The sequence below is a fragment of the Homo sapiens genome, chromosome 2 (assembly GCF_000001405.40).
Source record: "Homo sapiens chromosome 2, GRCh38.p14 Primary Assembly".
Taxonomy (NCBI): domain Eukaryota; kingdom Metazoa; phylum Chordata; class Mammalia; order Primates; family Hominidae; genus Homo; species Homo sapiens.
This window is the reverse complement of record NC_000002.12, coordinates 143761334-143780619: the sequence shown is the minus strand read 5'-3', so window position 1 is coordinate 143780619 and position 19286 is coordinate 143761334. Positions and strand designations below refer to the sequence as shown.

At 37.7% G+C, this 19286-nt stretch overlaps 1 protein-coding gene and 1 long non-coding RNA gene across 8 annotated transcripts in view, besides 1 other annotated feature; one reads left to right on the top strand and one right to left on the bottom strand.

Annotated features, from left to right (window-relative positions):
• Positions 533–1126: an enhancer, noted in NCBI's record as "H3K27ac hESC enhancer chr2:144537063-144537656 (GRCh37/hg19 assembly coordinates)". NCBI's record gives its function as "activates a minimal SCP1, AML or CMV promoter by ChIP-STARR-seq in primed H9 embryonic stem cells {active_cell/tissue: H9 hESC(primed)}" and the evidence as "EXISTENCE:reporter gene assay evidence [ECO:0000049][PMID:30033119]".
• Positions 4522–19286, top strand: part of ARHGAP15-AS1 (ARHGAP15 antisense RNA 1) — a 135343-nt gene continuing 120578 nt past the window's right edge. Inside the window, exons 1-2 of the long non-coding RNA XR_007087251.1 lie at positions 4522–4617; positions 5262–5437. This is a non-coding gene — a long non-coding RNA (ARHGAP15 antisense RNA 1). The remainder of the gene's footprint in view (positions 4618–5261; positions 5438–19286) is intronic.
• The window catches only part of ARHGAP15 (Rho GTPase activating protein 15), a 638934-nt gene continuing 631915 nt past the window's right edge, over positions 12268–19286 (bottom strand). For all 7 annotated transcript variants that reach the window (XR_007078554.1, NM_018460.4, XM_017004500.3 and 4 more), the window contains one exon: positions 12268–12631. Coding sequence is in view for 6 of the 7 variants with exons in the window: in NM_018460.4 (NP_060930.3) it covers positions 12448–12631 (184 nt within the window). In the remaining variant the exon portion in view is untranslated. The remainder of the gene's footprint in view (positions 12632–19286) is intronic.

The following is a 19286-nucleotide window of genomic DNA, read 5'->3' as shown; positions in this document are numbered from 1 at the left end:
TCTCTGGTGGAACACTCAAACTGGTCTTATAAATATATCTTGTCAATTTCACCTCTGGGCCTTTGCTTGTGTCACACCTCTGCCTTGATGACTTCCTTTTTTCCTTGAGTCAAGACTCTCTTGCTGTCATGGAGCCTCTCCTGGTTTATCCAGGCCCTTGTTTAACATGATCTCATTTGAAATTCTTCAGAACTTTTTGTCTGTATCAATTACCATATATAGCCTTAAATTACCACTTATATATTTTAAAATTATACTTGGGCTTTTTCTAATTATAAAAGTAACAAATGCCAAAAGTAAAAACTTGAAGATGTGCCAGGAGCAATGGGAGAAAATTAATTACTGACAATCTCACAACCAGAGGATCACCACTGCTAATATTTTGTTGTGTGTGTACGCACATATTACAGCATATAAACAATAGCATATTGTACCTATGATTTTATAACCTGCTCCTTTCTATGAGCAAATTTCTCCTGTCAATAGTATTTAAACACAACTGATTTTAAATGTCTCCATAATATTTCATCATATAAATGTTCCTTTGTGTAATTATTTGATTTTATATTACTATATATTTATATTATTTTTCTATTATAATAATGTTAAAGTAAATATATTTGGGGTAATACTCTAACACTGCTTATCTTTTTGGTACAGAGGAGCTAAGAATATTTGTCAAAAGGTAGAAATACCTGGCTCAAAGTCACTTCCTAGCTCTATTCCCTTCGGCAATGATGTAACTTTTCTAAGCTTACATTTTCTCATCTTTGAAATATTCATTACCTTACTGCCTACATCACGGAATTGTTTGTTGCAAGATAACTACCATGTGGTAAGTTGGTAGTAAGTGTGGGATATTATGATTTTTGTTTTTGCCTCACCTCTCTTCTTCTATGACTACATAATAAATCCCTTAAGGAAAAGGCTTTGTTTTATGGGGTCTGTGCTTGTTGTCCTCATGTCTGTCCCACTGTATTGTGCATAAGTGGTGGCTAACAACTGTTTGTTGATAATGACAAGGATGCCCAGATATGCGCCGGATACTTGCTGTGTAAGAAGTTACCCTTAGCAGCACTCGCATGCAAATTTGAAACTTTTCTGGAGACCCGAAGACTTTAAACTTTTCTCATCCAAATGCTCATTTTTGTTGCTAATCTTAGTTTTCTAATGTTCCAATTTTCCTCTGTATTCTTTACCTTCTGGTTGTTACCATCTGTGTTGATTGGCCCTCCTAGTTATAGATTGTGTTTACATACAAGGGGCTGGGAAGATCTATGCTCCCCTCATGCGATGGTATTTCTGGGGCACTAATGCATGGTGCTGTGAAACACGTCTTTGGCTGAGCTAGCCAGTTCAAAAGCCAGCTTCACAGCGGAATTTCACACATGCAAATGAACCATTGTGATCTTAGTCATGAAAATTCATGGAATAGTGGCTAGTTCAGTGTGGATGACCTGTCAATTTGGCAGCCAATCAGTTGGTTAAACATCCAAATTACTGGCCAGTTACTCAGTCTAATGCTAGTCTTCCTGCTTGTTACTGGGTTCTATGTAATCCTATTAAAAGCAATGACATTCTCTTTGATTTGTGGCAGCTAATGGTGTAGAAGTACCACGCAGGCACAGGACATGTGTCTGGCACAGTTTTCACTTGGGCATTGTGAAAATGGACCACTTGTGTTACTGTTGGATTTATTCTTAAAACTCTAAATATCCTCTGTTGAATAACAGGCAAAGTATCTTAATTTCATGGGTGCACCCTATTTATTATTTTTATCAATTATAAATGGGAATTGCTCTAAGGATTGAATATTTTTTTTTTGATATGTACTAATTGATTTTGTTGGATCTATAGTTAGCTCCTTGGACTTGGTTGTACTGTCAGGCAGTTGGACAGAAAGCCGTGGAGACTCCTCATGGCCTGTTAGAACTTGGGATTTGATTGACAGTGACCCATCTACAGTTCAATTTAGACAAAAGATAGCAGTATTGATAGGCTGGGAAATGGATCTAGAACAGTAATTCCTAGTTACAGACCTCTTTGAGAATATGATGAAAACTCCAGACTTGGACTCCAGAAAAATGTGCCAAAAATCTAGCATGAAGGTTTTGAGATTTCCTGCATCTGTTGAAGTCCAGGGGTCCAGGGACCCACGAAACCTATGTTAAAATTCCTGTACTGAATGTCAGGGTATGGAGTGGGAATAAAGAGACACAGAGAAACAGAGAAGGAGGCACCAAGATAGAAAAAGATAAAAGAGCCACGGAAGAGAGTAGACTCGGAAGTAGAGAGAGACTGAGAGGCTGAAAGTAGATGTAACTGCAGTTCTCTTAGCCGAACATAATCTCGCAATGCTATACATAATTAGGTTCTAATAAACACTTTCTTATGTCCAGAATCTTGAGTTATTCTGTCAAATAAAAATCTCCCATATGAAAGACATGATATATCTTTCACCTGAGGATTTTTGACAGTGTTGAAAAAACATACAGGAACAAGCATTTCATTTTAAAGGCAAGCATGAAGATTTTTAAAAGAACAGTGTAAGTTAAAGGGTCAGTTGGCTTGTAAATGCAAAAGCTTTTGTGTTTACTGAAGGCCATTGGTAGAAAAATTGTAAAAATAATACTGATTGGGAAGCATCAGTCATACTTTTTTTCAAAGAGTTTTTAATATATAGTATTGTATTTTATTTTCACAACAACCCTTTTTGTTAGGTAGGGCAAAAACTGCCATATGTGTTTTGAACATGAAGAAATTGAGACATGTGTATGGAGACTTATCTGGAATGATGAATACTCCAGGAAAAAGTGAATTCTGGAAACCAGATTTCCCAGCTCTGATTCTCAGGTGAATCCATATATCCCTGTTAGATATTAACACCCACATAGCCAGTGTATATTACAAATATAGTGTCTTCTTGTTTCTTAAAATGAAATAAAATTGACGAATTGGAACATGAATTAAAAATAGTGTTCTTGAAATGGGACAAAATAACAGGATCGTAGAACTTTAGAATGTAGGAGACCCTAGACATGAATAATCTCACCTACTTGTTAAGGTCCTTGTTGAGGACAAGGACTTGTCCCAGAGGGCTTGAGATTTGAACAAGACCTGGTGAGTGGAGACATATGGGAGAGACACTAACAGCAGAATGAAATAAGGACTTGCTCTCAACTCTGCTTTTTTTCCCACTCCCACCCAGGGGAAGAAGCAGGATTTAAAAGCATCTATTCTATGTTTTATATAACTTAGATGGAATGTCTTGATAATAATTTTGAAAAATCAGGTGTGAATCAAATCCAGTTCTCTTCTCAGACTATACCTGGGAACTTTAAAATTCCAGTGTTTTCTCAGAAGTTGTCTGTATAGGATAATGTAAAATTCTTTACATTCTGTTGGCCTGGGAAATTTTACATGGCTAAGAAAATATAGTAGAATAATTGCTCTGCTTCTCAGACTATAGTAGAGATTCCTAGGTTAGCATAGGTAATTCATGTTTCAAGGATGAATATGGTCATATATATCCATACATGCCCATATTCAATTATTCATGATTGTGGTATATATATATATACACACACACACATGCATACACACACATACATATGATATATAGATATATAATTGTGAGCATTTATAAAAGCATTAGGTCTGCAGGATATTTAAACACTCTTCATTTGTAACTTGCATTTTAGGGGGAATTATTTAGCTATGCGAGATATCACCATATTCAGTTTTTTTAATATAATAAACATGTCTAGTCAAAGAAGGCATTAATGAAGCAATTCCCCAAATAAAACAGCCCATGATATCTGAGTTGCAGCAGAGAGAGAGTGTGGTCTTTGTAGTTTAATCAAGATCACAAGACTTGTTTTGAGCGTCTGTCATCTTTAATTTTACGGCACTTCATTTCAGAGTAGGACTGCCAGGGTCACATGCAATTAAAACACAGGCAAGACTTGTCTTGTGAAATCTTAACATAAAAAGTAATGTGTTACTCCATTTTAACTTTTCTACTGAACTCCGTGAACTCACTAATTACTTTTCCCCCCTCTTGTCACCTTTTTGATATGACATGTATTTTATAGAGGAGATAGAAATTTGGATTTTTTTAATATCATGCATATGATTGAGGATAACAAAATTAAACCAGAGAAAAAAGGAATGCGTTTTTCAGAAATACATTTTTTAGTAATATCTGAGTACTCCAGCTTCAATTACAAAGAACCTCATAGATCAAATTCTAGGAAATAACTGTTAATCTGCTTAACTAGGGCAGGTAGAAGTGTAATAACGGACCAGAGATTTTACAGAGGCCAGGATCGTGAACCGGAGTTTATTCTCTGGGGTGCGGGCAAAAGCGCTTTTATGTGATTGGCTGAGAAAAGCATTAAAAGCCAGCGCCTACGTGGAGATTTGGAGCACAAGGAGGGTTGTTGCATCATAGTGATCAGTAAATTGCATAGACCCTTATTAACCTTATTGATAAGGAGCTTAGGGAAGACCCAGGCAGGGCGCAATATATTCTTCTTTTTGTTCTCCTGTCTGTCTCCGTTTGCAATCCCAGCCGCTTTGTATGGAGAGCTTTTACGCAGCACCTGAAAATTCAATGTGAGTAGCTGCGCCTTTAAGTTAGAGCCAGGGAATGGAGCGGGAGCCAGCCCATGCACAGGGGGTTCAGGGCCTATTTAACTGGTGCTGGGGACACCTGGAGAATGTTTGAAAATTTTGTGCTTAAAGAATCTTTTATATTACTCCTCTTTCAATGCAGCTGGGGTCTGTAGGGATCAGGGGATTATTTTTGATACCTGTCGAAAAGAGTTATGTCTACACTGATTTTCCATCCCTCACTACTAATTAACCTTATTGTATACAGGAAACAGTGTATTTAATACCTGCATTCTTTCTGTAATGCCAAGTAAAATGAAATCCAGTGTGAAATCTAGTTAGCGTTTGCCTTTTTGAAGTCATTTTTAAGTTTCCAGTTTTAGTGACTGTGACCTCAGAACTGATAGCTAGAAAAATAGTGAGCTCAAACCAATTTTGGTTTCAATTGTATTCCTCACTCCTTCCAACTTTAAAAGCTGCCTTTCACCTGGTCTGGTGAGGAGAATGGAGGAATGGAACATCCCGAGCTGGACCACGTTTCTCTGGAGTCTTCCATGTTGGCCTCTGCCTGTGGTTGTGAGGTTTCCCTTTAGGCCGGCCCCATAGGCCGGCCCCTACTCCATTAACCTGGTTTCTCTCCTTGGCAGTTGAACACCTGTGTCCCCTTCTTTTCAATCTGGGAGGCTGAAATTTGACAGACACATCATGGCAAAGTTGTGCAGCAGCGATACAAGTAGATGCTGAAGAAAAGGGAGGAATCTGAGCGCAGGATAAAATGCTCAAGAAAATCCCATTGGTGGAATGTTTGTGAGAGAAAAAAAAGGTAGGGTCTAGCAAGAAAGAGCAGAAATTAAACTGTGTAAAATGTCACCAAATGATGTGGAAAAATCCACATGTCTTCAAGTATGCTGCACAATATGGACTTAGAACACATTTTGCGAGTGATGTGAGAATGGTTAGCACAATGGTTACATTCCTGCTCTTAAAATTCCAGTGTGTGTGTGCATGTGTGTGTGTGTGTGCATGTGTGTCAAGTAAACTTGTTAGCGAAAATAGTGCCAGAGGAAAGTGAGGATTTTCAGGCCACTGCCTTGTATTTTCCAGATTCCTTGGCTTTTGAGATTTTCATATGTTGGTCAGAATGCCTATGCCTTATAACATTTGTCTGACATGTAAACCACACATTGATAAGTGGAGAGAAGGTTAGTGGAAGATGCTGCTGGGTGTCACAGATGCCTAAGACCCCCTCCTCCTCCCAGCTGACTTGAACCGGGACATCAAAATTTGCTGTCAGACTTGCATGGGTTAGATTGGTGAATCTTACCATCTCTCCACTGCTTCTGTGATTTAGTAAGCATTTCTTAGGGACTTGCACTTCAAGAGAGGTAGCTGAAGGAATGTCTGTTTGATGGCCCTTGTTTAGGTGGGACTAAGAGTCAACACAAATACCACTGATTTGGCTGCACATAAGACGCTACATTTAACTTGATAGGAAACCTGACGGTGGATCATATTTGTATTTAATGTTGCTAGTGTTCTGGGTTTTTGTCTTGGTTCACTGATCCATCAAGTGTGCACAGAGCCCCAAGCACGGGCATGGTGTTGCCACTCTCACTTACTGCTTTCTTAGCGCTCTCCTTATTGAATGGGGAGTGTTGTATAGAATCCTACTGATGGCTTAAGAGTTTTGTGGACCCTGCATACTTTGCTTCAAGCATAAAATAGCAAAAATCAGTTGTATAAGTCTATAAGGAGTGTGTGTGTGTGTATATCCTTCTTCAGGTCTCTTACCAAGACAGCTAGGCATTTTCATCTGGACAACACTACTACAGAAAATTGTCATCTTTTTGTACAAAATGTTCACTGTATTCTCATCATTTAAATGATTCAAGATCACTTTCTGGCAGCATGAGACATGACATGTCTTGATGCCTGCCTCTTTTTCAATTATATTTAAGAGGAAGGCTGCTGGGACCCACATTTTTCATCTTTCACAGGACCCCTAAAGGGCCAGATTTAAGTTCAATACAATATTAGATAGTAAGGTATGATAGATGATAACAGGACACTGACAAATATGATCCAACACAGCATAATACAACATAACATGGGGTTGAAGCTACCCCAACAGGTACCTGTAAAGATGGGTAAAGAGGCTTCTGTTCTGTCCTTTCCATAATGCAGTAAAAAATTAGTACAATGTCTGCAAAACATGTAGGCAAACAAAATGCTACACAAATATTAAAATTATAGAAATAACATGCATGAGATTAACCATCTACTCATAAGAACAGAGGTACTCTGTATTTCTTTGAAAAAATTGTGTAATATCCCCCTTATTCTTTTATGAAAATTCATATGAAAGTAAAACTTTCATCAGGTGTTTTAACAGAATGACCAGGCACCCACACAAGTAGAAATACCTGGGGATGTTTATGCACTTACATTTTTTTCAGCATCTTTTCCTAATTAAGTGATCATATGGTACAGTGGTTAAGGCAGGTGCCTCTGCGCCATATTACTTAGATTCAAATATTGATCTGGCATATACTACTTACATGAACTTGGTAATTTCAGTATTTTTTTGCTCTCAATTTCCTCAAGTATAAATCAGGGATAATAGTGTCTTCCTTCGTAGAGTTATCAAGATTAAATAAAACAATATATATCAATTGCAGTTCATGGCATATAACAAGTGCTCTATAAATGTTAGCTAATCAAAATTAATCTTCCCAGGACTAATTTCTTGATGATCCTCTGGGTGGCCAGAGGAGCAATATTGGCTCAAGAAAAAGGAGGGAGAGGTCAGAGCCAGGTATGATAGAAGTGACCCTACGATCATCTGGGGATGATGCTGGTAGCATGCACACTCATTGACTTGGGCATGACTTGGCCAAAATGGTTACTGTCAAATGCCAAATCACTTTCAGAATCTAGAATTAACCTCCATCGCAACCCAGTGAGTAAGTCAGAAACGGGCCTGGTATGGGAGTTCTGCATAACAAGAGATGGTCTTTGCACTTAGCAGTCATAATGAAGAGATGGCAGGTAAGGCCCTGAAGAAGTTTAATAGTATGATGCACCATAATATCAATTTCTCTATCTGCTGCTGCTCTCTGAATTTAGACTTGCATTAACAGTCTTATAGCAATAATCTTCTGTCTGGCAATGGTGCCTATGATTTCTTCCTGCTTCAAATTCCACTCCATAATGTTGCCATGAGAATCTTTACAGCTTTGATAAAGTTACTTCCCCGCTAAAAAAAGACCTTCAGGGTCTCAAAATTGACTAGAAACTTAGGATAACACATCTTAGTACGGCATTCAGGATTTTTTTTTGAGTCTGGTCCCAACCTTCCTTCTCATTGTTTTCAGAACATAAAGTTATTATTAGTTAATAAACTGGAAATCCATCATCCACATCTTTTAGGAATAACTTGGAATTTCATGGTGTATTACCTGTTTTAATTTCCTTCATATGATTCCATTACATAGCCCTGAAAGGCAAAATAAGACAAGTAGAAAACAGATACCCAGCTTGAGTGAGTAATTTGCTCAGGGTCGACACAGCAAGTTCTCCTAAGTGCAAAGTGTACACGTTTTCTGCTCTTTCCCATTGCTCGGGCTCCTCATCCCCACAATCTGCTCCGTGTGCGGCCACTTTCTGGGGAGCAAACTTTGTGACACTGAGGTCCTTGGGCTGAGTCCACAGAGCTGTGTTTTATTTGGTGCCCTTAAAAAACAGATTTCACACAAGATCCTGAATTTCTGGCTTTTCATGAAAGAGCTGAAGGTCTGGCAACATTGTGCCCACATTCCCACATAAGCAACATCGGCTCCAGCTGAGTAGAAGCCGACCCTTTTGGCCAGGCGTTAAGCTTGACTTTTCCACAGCTGCTGCTTCATACGCCTGCTGCCTGCTCCTCTTGACTCGTTTCTATCACTGCCCGGCCCCACTAGGCATCTGAATTTGCAACCCTTGTTTTAAAGAAAGAGAAAAAAGGAGACATCTGTGTTCTAAAGATAAGATCAAACAGGGTTGAAAATATAAAATGTGATTATTATATTTCCAGAAAGTCCTCATTTTTTGGTATTAAGATGTAAGTTTCCTGGGAGAGAGTTGATGTTGTTTTGGTTTTATTCCTCATTTTTGACAACAGAGCAATTTGACCCAGAACCCTTAGCAACAGTCCTTTTTGGATGAAAATCTTTGCAGGGCCTTTTAATTAGGAATTGACAGGGTGATTAACTTATAATTCACAAAAATAAATGTGGAAAAGAGAAGTACAGGTCAATTTCTAGCTGTGTTAAACTGTAAGGACAGCACTATTGGCAAGTGATTGCTTCCTTTTAACAGCTTTTAAAATTTTTCTTAATTGGATCGTTTGTTTTCTAATTGGATAGGGAGAACCATCATATGGCTTTCAATTACTAGTTGTGGCATGGTGATCCTGTCATATGGCACATGCTAAGAAAGTCAGACTGTCAACATATAAGATGAAATATATACCATCTCCAAGCAGCTTTCTGTGTCAATAAGAAAGAGGGGAAACCTCTGATATCCTGGGTAGGTAAAGGCGTGCTGAAATGGGACATAATAACTAGCTTGATTTTCTAGGGACTTGTGTTTCCATTCTACAGACTAAGTTACAATTTCTTAAAATGTTTCATCATCATAACTAGAACTGACCCTAAGAATATAAGATTATAATTTTATTTCACACACAAACACATACATGAGAAAATGCTGGTCTCCTCAAATTAATTTTTTTCCTGCCCATTGGTGAATTTAGAGATTCTCTAAGAAACAAAGTTTCTCTATAGCTTTCTGGCTTTACAGCCTCTATGGGATCCCTTTTGCCTACAGGATAAAATCTGAATATGTTATCATGGCTGATATCTGATCCCAACATCTTTCTCTAGCTTTATATTCCAAAATTGCTAGGCATGCACTTCACCCTTTATTCACTGAACTTCTCACTTTTCTTTGGAGAATGTCAGGTCTTTCATGACTCTGTTCGTGCCATTCCTGTTTCCTGGTGTGTTTTCTGCATTTTTCTTTGGTAAATCTTGTTCATTGGTCAAGATTAGATAGAAAAGGTTACCTTCCCAATGAAGCCACATCTAACTCTGTAACAGAGTCAGAGGACAGTTACTGCCTGTAACTGAGTCTTTTGGTATTTGTCAGCCACTGAGCATTGTTAATATGTCTGGAATAGCTTCTGTTCTGTTTGCCCATTCATTCAACAATACATTTTGAGCATCTTTAAGTATAGGTGCCGAATCCTGGGTCTACACGCTTACCAAGATGGCTAAGGCACCTGATCTTGTATTGAACTGTAATTAATTGTTAGGGATAGTCTCCCTCACTGGGCTGAAACTACAGAGGGTAGAAATATTTGTCTTATTTAATATTTGTGTCACCAGTGCCTAGAATTTTGCCTGGTTCAAACTAGGAGATAAGGAAATGCTCACTGGTGTTTCATGACTTCTTGCTGGAGAATATTGACCAGTTATATGAAATCTAACCTTTTAGTCAACCTAGTATACTTATAATCTCAGCTTCTAAACATGGAAGACTTGATATGGCCGTCATCACTGTATTTGAGATGTTACGGAATCTAATAATAACTTTTTGGTGTAACCCTTTTTATGCCTTTAGTGTGTTAGGTCAGATCCTGTGATGGGCACTTTGGCTCAGCACGTTGGAATGGCCTTTTCCCAGAGAGGAAACACATTCTCTGATTAAATGCCCTTAGCAGGCAGGGACAGGACACAGCTGGGGTTTGAATCAGGCTAAATCCCATCAGATTGGAAATCAAGAAGCTGGTGCTTTTGAAGATTATAAATCTGGAAAGCAACAGAGACAAGGGGCTGTGAGTCCCTGCCCAAAGCAGGTAGTGCCACTTCTCTTTGGCTTTCAGTGCTGGTTCTCTCTGGCTGATGCTTCCAGAATAACTTTAAAGATGGATACGTGTGAAGGGATAAGATTTTAATGCTAGAACCACTAAATCTACTCTCCCCCAACGCTTCAAAAAGGGAAGTAATCAAAGTCTTGGGAAAGACCTAATTGAGAATACGGAATGGCATGGAAATGAGAACGACTTGAAATAGAATGCCAGAAACTCTTGTTTCATGTCTCCATGTTTTTCTGAAAGGCATAATTACAATTTTACTTATAAGAATCACTTAAAGCTAGCAAGTCTGCCAGCCCACTGTTACTGGTGACTTCAGATCATGGAGTTCTGCTTCATGCGACTTTTTTTCAGCTTTTTGTATGTGTATACATCCCACTGGATGAAACTGCACTTCAGCACTTATTGTGGTGGCTTCTCTGTTCTTGGCTACAAGCCCACTTACTGGCGCCATTGCTAAAATGAAGACATTCAAAAGGGACAAGGGAGTCCTCTGCTTCCTCAGGCAGCTCCATGGATGTTGGAGCTGCCTGCACATCTGGCTATCTCTTGAGCAGACTCTCCCCGTCTCCTGAATACCCCATCTAAACAGACAGCCTATGCCGTGGAGCTCATTATTGCCCTAAGTGTTTGCTCTGGATCTGTGCTTCACCCGTTTTATTTACATGTTTTATTTTTCATTTTATGAACAAATCGATAACTATACTTACTCTTTATCACACTGGATTAGTTTTATTTATTCTGTTTGAATTTGATTAAAAAGCTGTCAAACGTAAGTCTACATTTTTATCAGCAGAATACTTTCATAAAACCAGTATGAGATGTGTTCAACTAGAACATACTTTTCAAAATAAAACAATGTTTGATATATTCTAGACAGTTACCCTTTTGTTTATCCATGACAACTGAAACTATCAAATGGATAAAGCAATCTAAGTCTAGTCAAGTAATCCTTAGGGCATATGAAAAAAAAGGCTTTAAAAAAGTTCTTTCTAGATGGATTTAATGTAATTCACCAATAAAGCATCCTCAGAAGTATAATAAAAATTCTACATAAAATGACATAGCCAGGGAAAAGGAAGATATACAGTTTGATGAAGATTCAAAATGGATGTTAGCATTAAAAATGAGCAGTCATGCAATTCCTGTGTAATATAAAGATCAAAATTGCAGGGCACTAATTTTGCTTCTAATTTATAAGATAGTGTGTTTATGGGACTACATTTGTATTTATAAAAAATTCAATGGCAAATGCTTTGAACTGTCATTTTTCTTGAGAAAAATTGCCATTCAACATGTTATATTTATAAATTTCACTGTATAGCATTGAAAATAGCTGGACTATATTTATATATACAAAAATGTTCTGGAAAGATGAAATATATATGTTTTGGTTGTGAACCTGATCTCCTTCGTTCAATTTACAAATTAATAGCTTCTGCCTTCCTACCTCTTTGTGTTCTATCCGTGTCCAAGTAACAGTATGGAGTCATGTTTAAGGCAGCCTGGATCTTGGGAAAGCACATGTGTGCACATGCACCCCTACTCCCAACCACACTCACTCACATCTCCACATACACAACCACACACCCAATTCCCTGGAGCAGCATTAAGGCCATTTTTTGAATATGTGCTAGTCTTTGCATATTATTTAATAGCATGAGGCATGCATGATGTGCTCCTAGAAGTGCTAGAAGGCATAGCACCAAAGGGGTTAATGTAGAACACATAGAGGCAAATATTGTCAATTATTTTATTCAAATGTTTGGAACTTAAACACAAAATCATCATTAAGTTTTCACAAAATGAGGCATCTGTCGCTTGAAAGGCAAAAAATATTTCAGAAATATGTTTACAGAAATGTAAAAATATTAGGCATCAAGACAGATGTGAACGTATTCAGTAGCTTGTCTTGTCTGTCAGTCTTCCTCTGAGCCGAAGATCTTACTGTACTCACTCAGCATGAGCTCAGCTATCTGGTTCTGGTAGACCATGTGGATCGCCATGTTTCCTGTTTCATTTTCAGCTCGCAGAAGGGTAGGTCCAAATACAATCCCCAAGCTTTGCGTGGACATGAGGTTCTTGGAGGCTTTGGCCACTATCCTGTGGAGAGAGAGAAAAAAAAATAATTTCACTGGAGTTTGAAGTGAAGTTATGGCTACTTTGGAGTGATTAAAAAAGGTTTCTCATTCAGGAAAAGTAACTGCATTATAACATTATTTAATCTTCTACCCTACATACTTTACTGTATGGAAGTAGAACCTATGAGTTTTGGGGAAAGGATACATTGCCTTGTCCAACTTTTTACCCCCATAATAGCTGAGCATTGTGGGTACTCAACAAATATTTGTGAAATGAATGAGTATATTAAACAGCAAAAATGACTGTGAAATTAATAAGATTCAGCCTTTAAAATGCTTAGAGACAATTGAGGAAACAGGTGAGAGGCATGCAAAAAAATATATATATAAGAACCCAAATGAAATAACCAGAACAATGTCTGCACAATTAGTAGCCTGAAAAAAATTAAGTTTTTCCTGATTAGTGTTGAGTAAAGTATTCCTGGCAAATGCTAACTGGAATATGTTTTGTAGAGGAGATAAGCTCTGAGACAGTTTGGTATATGGTAAAATTCTAAGTGTCTCCATTCATTTGGACAGCCAATTTAGCTTAATGCCACAATAAAATGCAGAATCCTGTAGCATTTGCACAGGAAAAGAGCCCCATTGGAATCAAATATGTATTTGCTTGTGTGAGGACCCTATGGAGAGCTGGAATACCAATGAAACACTAGGATTTGGTTTTATTAATGGTAATGACTTGCCTGTTCCAACACAGGACTCCTAAAAAGAAAATAAAGCCCCATCCTAGAAACTGATAATTAAAAAAGTAATGCTATTCTGACAGCTGAAGCCTACTTGATTTTATATTAAAATTCAGAAGAGTGGGGTTTTAGTGATAAGGAAATAAGGAAAGCATATGGAAAGAAAGAGTGCTAAGAAATATCAAACTCTTCATTCTACCAGACATCCAAACCCAAGGGAAATAAGAGTGTAGAAAATAAAGCAAAGCAAAGGAACACTTTTTTACAGGACAGTGGGGTCTCTGGCTTCAGAGCTCCGTGTGGAACATTGTTGAGGTGGTTGGACTTTAGAGGCCTCTCTTTGTTTGGCCTAAGTGGGCCTACATATCTCTGAATTACAGGTGGCAGAAAGACTGGTATTATAGTAGTCCCTGCTTATCTTCGGGGGATATTCTCCAGAAACCCCATCCCGCCGCCAGTGGATGCCTGAGACCTTGGATAGTACCGAACCAGATTGCCATCTATTGGAACATGTTTCTCTTCCATCCACAGATGTAATGCCTTTTCCATCTTAACTCAGCACTCATCATGCACTGCGGCCATAACTTTTGCAGTCTGAGGCACAACAGCAAAACTAGCACAAATTTATTTTTCCTACTTGACAATTTCACAGATGGAAGATTCATTCTTAACATAAATCATAGCAACCTCAGCATACAGTTTTTATTCTTTCCTTATTAAGTTGAGACCTTCCACCTTTCCACTGAATGGAAGCACGTTATGGCTTCTCTTTGGCATGTGTGAATTGCCAGCATCACCTACTCTTGCACGTTGGGGGCCATTGTGAAGTAAAATAAGGAATCCTCAAACACAAGCACTGTGATGCCACAACATTGATCTGATAACTAGGAAGGCTACTCTCTGAATAATGGCACCAGAGGAGACAGCTTGGAGACTCTGGACAAAGGGAGGAGTTACGTCCTGGTTGGGAGAACTCATCATGCTACTCAGAATGGTGTGCCACTTATTAATTGCATATTTCTGGAATTTTCCATTTCATACTTTCAGACTATGGTTGACTTTGGATAACTGAAACCGTGGAAAGTGAAACCACAGATAAGGGGGACTGCTGCATTTTTTTTTTCCCTTCACAAACCTGATTCTCTGAAGAACCACTTTTGTGACCAAGAGGCCATGCCGTCCATCTCTTGAAAGAGTTTGAGCAGGGCCTAAGCCATGTGTGTACTGCCTGGTACTTGCCCACCACCAAGCAAGCTCATGGCACATACTGTGGCCAGCAAAGCATATTTGACCTGACCAATATTAATAATAATCAACTACTGTTCTAAGCAATTTTATTGTCTCATTTCATCATCATAACAAGCCCATGAAGTAGCTTCTATTAAGCTTGTTCAACAAATGAGAAGACTGAGGCATAGAGTGGTGTGACAGCCAGTGTCACACAAGCTGACACTGACCCAGACTGCCCAGGCAGTCTGGGTCCAGTACCTGTGGAAGCATCACTGTCAGTGTCTGTAATGACTCCTGGCCCTAGTAACTGGGCCGGCTTTTCACTCTGCCACCTTCCACCTGACTATACGATCCATCGTAAGAAGGTCTGAATTTTCGTTTTTTACTCTTAGAATTGTAATGGACAGCCTGGTGATAGTAGATTTCTTGTGGCCAAAATCACTCAAATTTAGACTGAATATTCAGGATATTCTGCTTCCCATTTTCCCTTTTCTTCTGCTTTAAGCAGATAGCATTTGTACCTGTGAGCACTGTTGGCATGGCTACATTTCTGGAAGGGATCCTCATATTTTTAGAGTGTGAGTTATCTGAGACTTCAAATTTAAAGTTTCTTTTGGAACATAAGAAGCTATGCCACTTTGTTATTTCATTTGCCAAAATCCTATTGAGTGAATTAAGCATCCTCCTGTCTGTAGAGGGCAAGTGGAATGGACCTTTGCTTCTCTTTAACATGCCCATCTACCTCAGTTTAAGATCTCTCCTGAGCCTCTCCCAGATATGCCTATTATAAAAGCCATTAGTAAGACTCACAATACAGGCAATGCAGGTTTTTCCCAATTTGGTTTTAAATTAATACCTTTTTATGATGGGAACTCCTTCATTAATTTTACCACACACACACACACACACACACACACACACACACACATATTTTAGAGGCAAATATGGAGATAGATAAGATAAATAATCAATTGAGTACTTATTAGGTAAAAGTTCTTTTAATAACTTTACCCATTGGTAGCAAATGCCTAAATTGATAAGATTTATCTAGCAGAGAACAGGGCTCAGAGGTCATGGGCCATGGAGAAGGTAGAAGCAAAAGCAAGACTGTATTGAAGGTACAAAGGTGAATGGGGCATCTTGGCCAACAGGGTAGTAGAACATTAGGACTTGGAGTCCAGGAAATCTGAAAGGGCAAAAGGATGATGTAAACATTGACAGGATTGAAGATAGAGTTACCTATTTAATTATGGCTATAGTTTTAGTTGGTGCAGAGACAGTGAGATTAAGGTATCTGGGAGCCAAAACTGAGACCCACAAAGGTGAGGCTAAAAATCAAGGGAGATGAAAGAGCTCATTAGTGGAGGGATAGTCTGAGGCTATGGGAGTGGAAGCTGGAAGGGGTCTATAGCTTTGGAGGAGCTTGGGTGGGTGGAGGGATAACTCAGCTCTCAAAGGGGACTCAGGCATTGAAGGGAGAGCAGGAAAACTGAAACGGGGCTGGACTATTTACTATTTCTGCAGCATTCTTTTTATTTTCCCTGCTCAGCAAAAGACCTGGTCTTGGAAACCAGAGCAGGGCCAAATGTGGGGGAGTGAACCAAGGAAGTTTGAAAGGGGAAAGAGATTATGTAAAAGTAGACGATTGAAGATACAGTTATAGAAGGAAGAGTTGGAGGCTAGAGCTGCGTGTCTGAGTACCTCCTTGGGGAAAGCCATGTGCCTGCATGTCTGAGTCTCCCTTGGGAGAAGGCTTCTCAGCCACTGGGCCACCGTGGGGGACTCCTGTAATGAATTTCTGCGAATGCAAATTACCTAAATTTCCTGTGGAAAAATGTTCATTTTGTGCTTTTATGCATGTGTCAATATAAAATATTCATTCTGCCTCAAACCTCTATCCTTTATGTCCATTTCCCTGCACGTTTTCCATTTGCTTTTAATAAAACTTATGCACGTTTTAAATAATCTCATTTAAAAAATAAATTTTTAAAATAAATTTAAAAAATAACACATAGTTTTGTATTCCTGTTATATTTGCATTATTGCAGGTTAAATTTTTTCAGCAGCTTGAAATTTTTTTCCTGAGTTAGGAAAATCAAGTTACTTGTAGTAACTTTAAAAAAAATTAAGAGTCATTAAGAAAGAAAGTTAGATATAGTATTATATAGAACACAGGCTATCTGGCTTATTTACTATTTCAAAATATGTATGTATGTGTATATATGTAATCTATATAAATATATACATAAAATTTATATGTATATAAATATATTTATATACATACATATACATATACATACATATACATATACATACATATACATACACATATACATACACATACATATACATATGCAATTTGCATATATATGCAATTTATATATATGCAATTTGCATATATATGCAATTTATTATTTATATATATGCAATTTATTAAGATATATATATGCAATTTATTTTCCAAATATCAACCAAACAGTAGTTCATGTGTGAAGAAATCACTGTCTTTAGGTTAGAAAAGGTGAAGGTAAAGATCAATTTGGGGTAGAAGTCATCAAATACTGAACTATATAATTCATGTTGACTAATACATTCTCATATTAAAGTTTAAATTATGTGGGGATAGACATTTCCAGCAAAGAAGGCCCCCAAACTGGGAATGTCTGGGAAAATGTATTAATGCTGTTATAAATGTCATGATTCAAATGGAAGCTTACGTATTCCCTACCATGCTGGACTCCTAAATAGTTAAGTGGTTGATTTAGGATTACAGAGGAAATCAACCACAATTTCAAATATACAGTTAGAATACTATCCTGCAAAATTATATTATTATATGTCTCTCTTTTTACATCTAATTATTACCTATTTTTTTTTAACCTCACATCAATAGAAACCATAATTTCACTCCTACTGTGGGGACCAGCTAGAGATTATTTCTGAAGGTTTCAACTAGTAAAACATATGTAGAAAAGAAATATAGGCTGCTGGAAGAAATAAAAGGCTTTCATGGAATAATATAACTCAATTTAGTATCTTAGATGGAAAACTCTCAAAAACAGTCAGGTGTACTTCAAGTAGCTTGAGCTTTAGTTGAGTTGTATTGTTGGAGGGGTGGATCTGATCCAGAAACCATATACATTTTTACCATGGATTTGGCAATATCTTTCAATAAAGTGGGTTCTGTAAAACACCATTTCTCTGATATGCTTCACGAAAAATGGCATTCCAAAGTAAAAGTTTTGGAGAAAATTGAGTGCCACTTTTTCTTCTTGGATATTCACAATGCATAAAAGCATAATAAAGGCTCTGAAAAGTCCTGCAGAAAAAAAAAATCCTTGCCAATCTTTAACTTGTGTCCTCCCTAAATTACTTGAATCTTGTACATAGGTTCTCTTTTTTGAGTAACACTGAAGAGTGTATATGAAGAAATGCTGTTCTATGTGTTTTGCTAAGGACCTACCATATACAAGTCTGAAAATGTTAGGAATTTTATCCTCCTATGCCACCCTGGCTTCACAGCTCTGTAGCAGCTAACTCAGAAGTCAGATTCTGGTCATTCCGGCTAGTTCCACCCCTCTGGTAGGGCTTAGGTTTCATTAGGCCCTTAAATTCCTTAACTGTGTTGTAAAGTTTGAGCTACCATTTAACCTGTTTTTAGCAAAGAAATGAAAGAAACTCCCCTTTTATGACAAAACAAAGGCCAAAAGGCAAAAGAACTAATCTGAATGAGAAAGGTAAGGAAAACACGTGGTTGAGACATTAGCATGATAGTGGGCAAGGAGGCCCCAAAATATTTAGACCTTATGTCAATATTTGGGAATTCCTCTTGATGTATGTTGACTCATCATTAATTTACTCCCAAGAAATCATAGCAAAGATACCTGATTCTAAGCAACATGAAGAGCTCAAAGTTTAGTGCCTCTGAATGCTTAACTAACAGAAAAAAAGGCCCCAAACTGCAATTCTTGAAAAAGGCTATTTATTTATACTGCTTAGTTTTAAATAGCCTGACAAAAATATGATTTTATGAATTTGTTCATGAAATAGCACTTTGTATGTATTCCTAGTAAAAGCATTTCTTATACCACTAAGTAAAATTCAAGTTTATAAAATCTTAGAATGAGTAAGAATTCAGTTTTCTAACAGGAGCTGAGAAGTGATACACAGTTTACAGCATTAAAAAAAGGAAATGTGAGTGCTACCTTTTGTCAGGCCCAAATGGGAAGAACAATGATCCATCAACTTAAGTTTATTTTAGAAATAATTTATAATCCAGTGCTACAGATGTTGGACCCCCGGAAAAGAAATCCTCTCAAAAAAGCCTTATGCTGGGTAAGTTTTTCCCAAAATGAGCTGAATTGCTAATTCAAAGAAATTTCTTAGTCACATAAAATCACAGCCAAATGACTCGAACTGAAAGAAAACTTTAATATACAACCAAAAATTAATGCTGAATTAAGAAGACCAAAGCCTTTAATAATAGTTCAGCTCCAAACAGATTTATGGATGTGAACTTTCTTTTAAGTTTGTGCTTTGCTGTTACTATAGTGACTTGCAAAGTGTGTTGAAAGTCACATAATTGCCTGGAGGACAACTCTCCAGTTATGAAGGTGTATTAGAAATGTTCCCTTCTCTATCTGTGGAATGCCATGATTTTCCAACACACATAACTTTAGGATAGTTTTACGGAGTAAGGAGAGT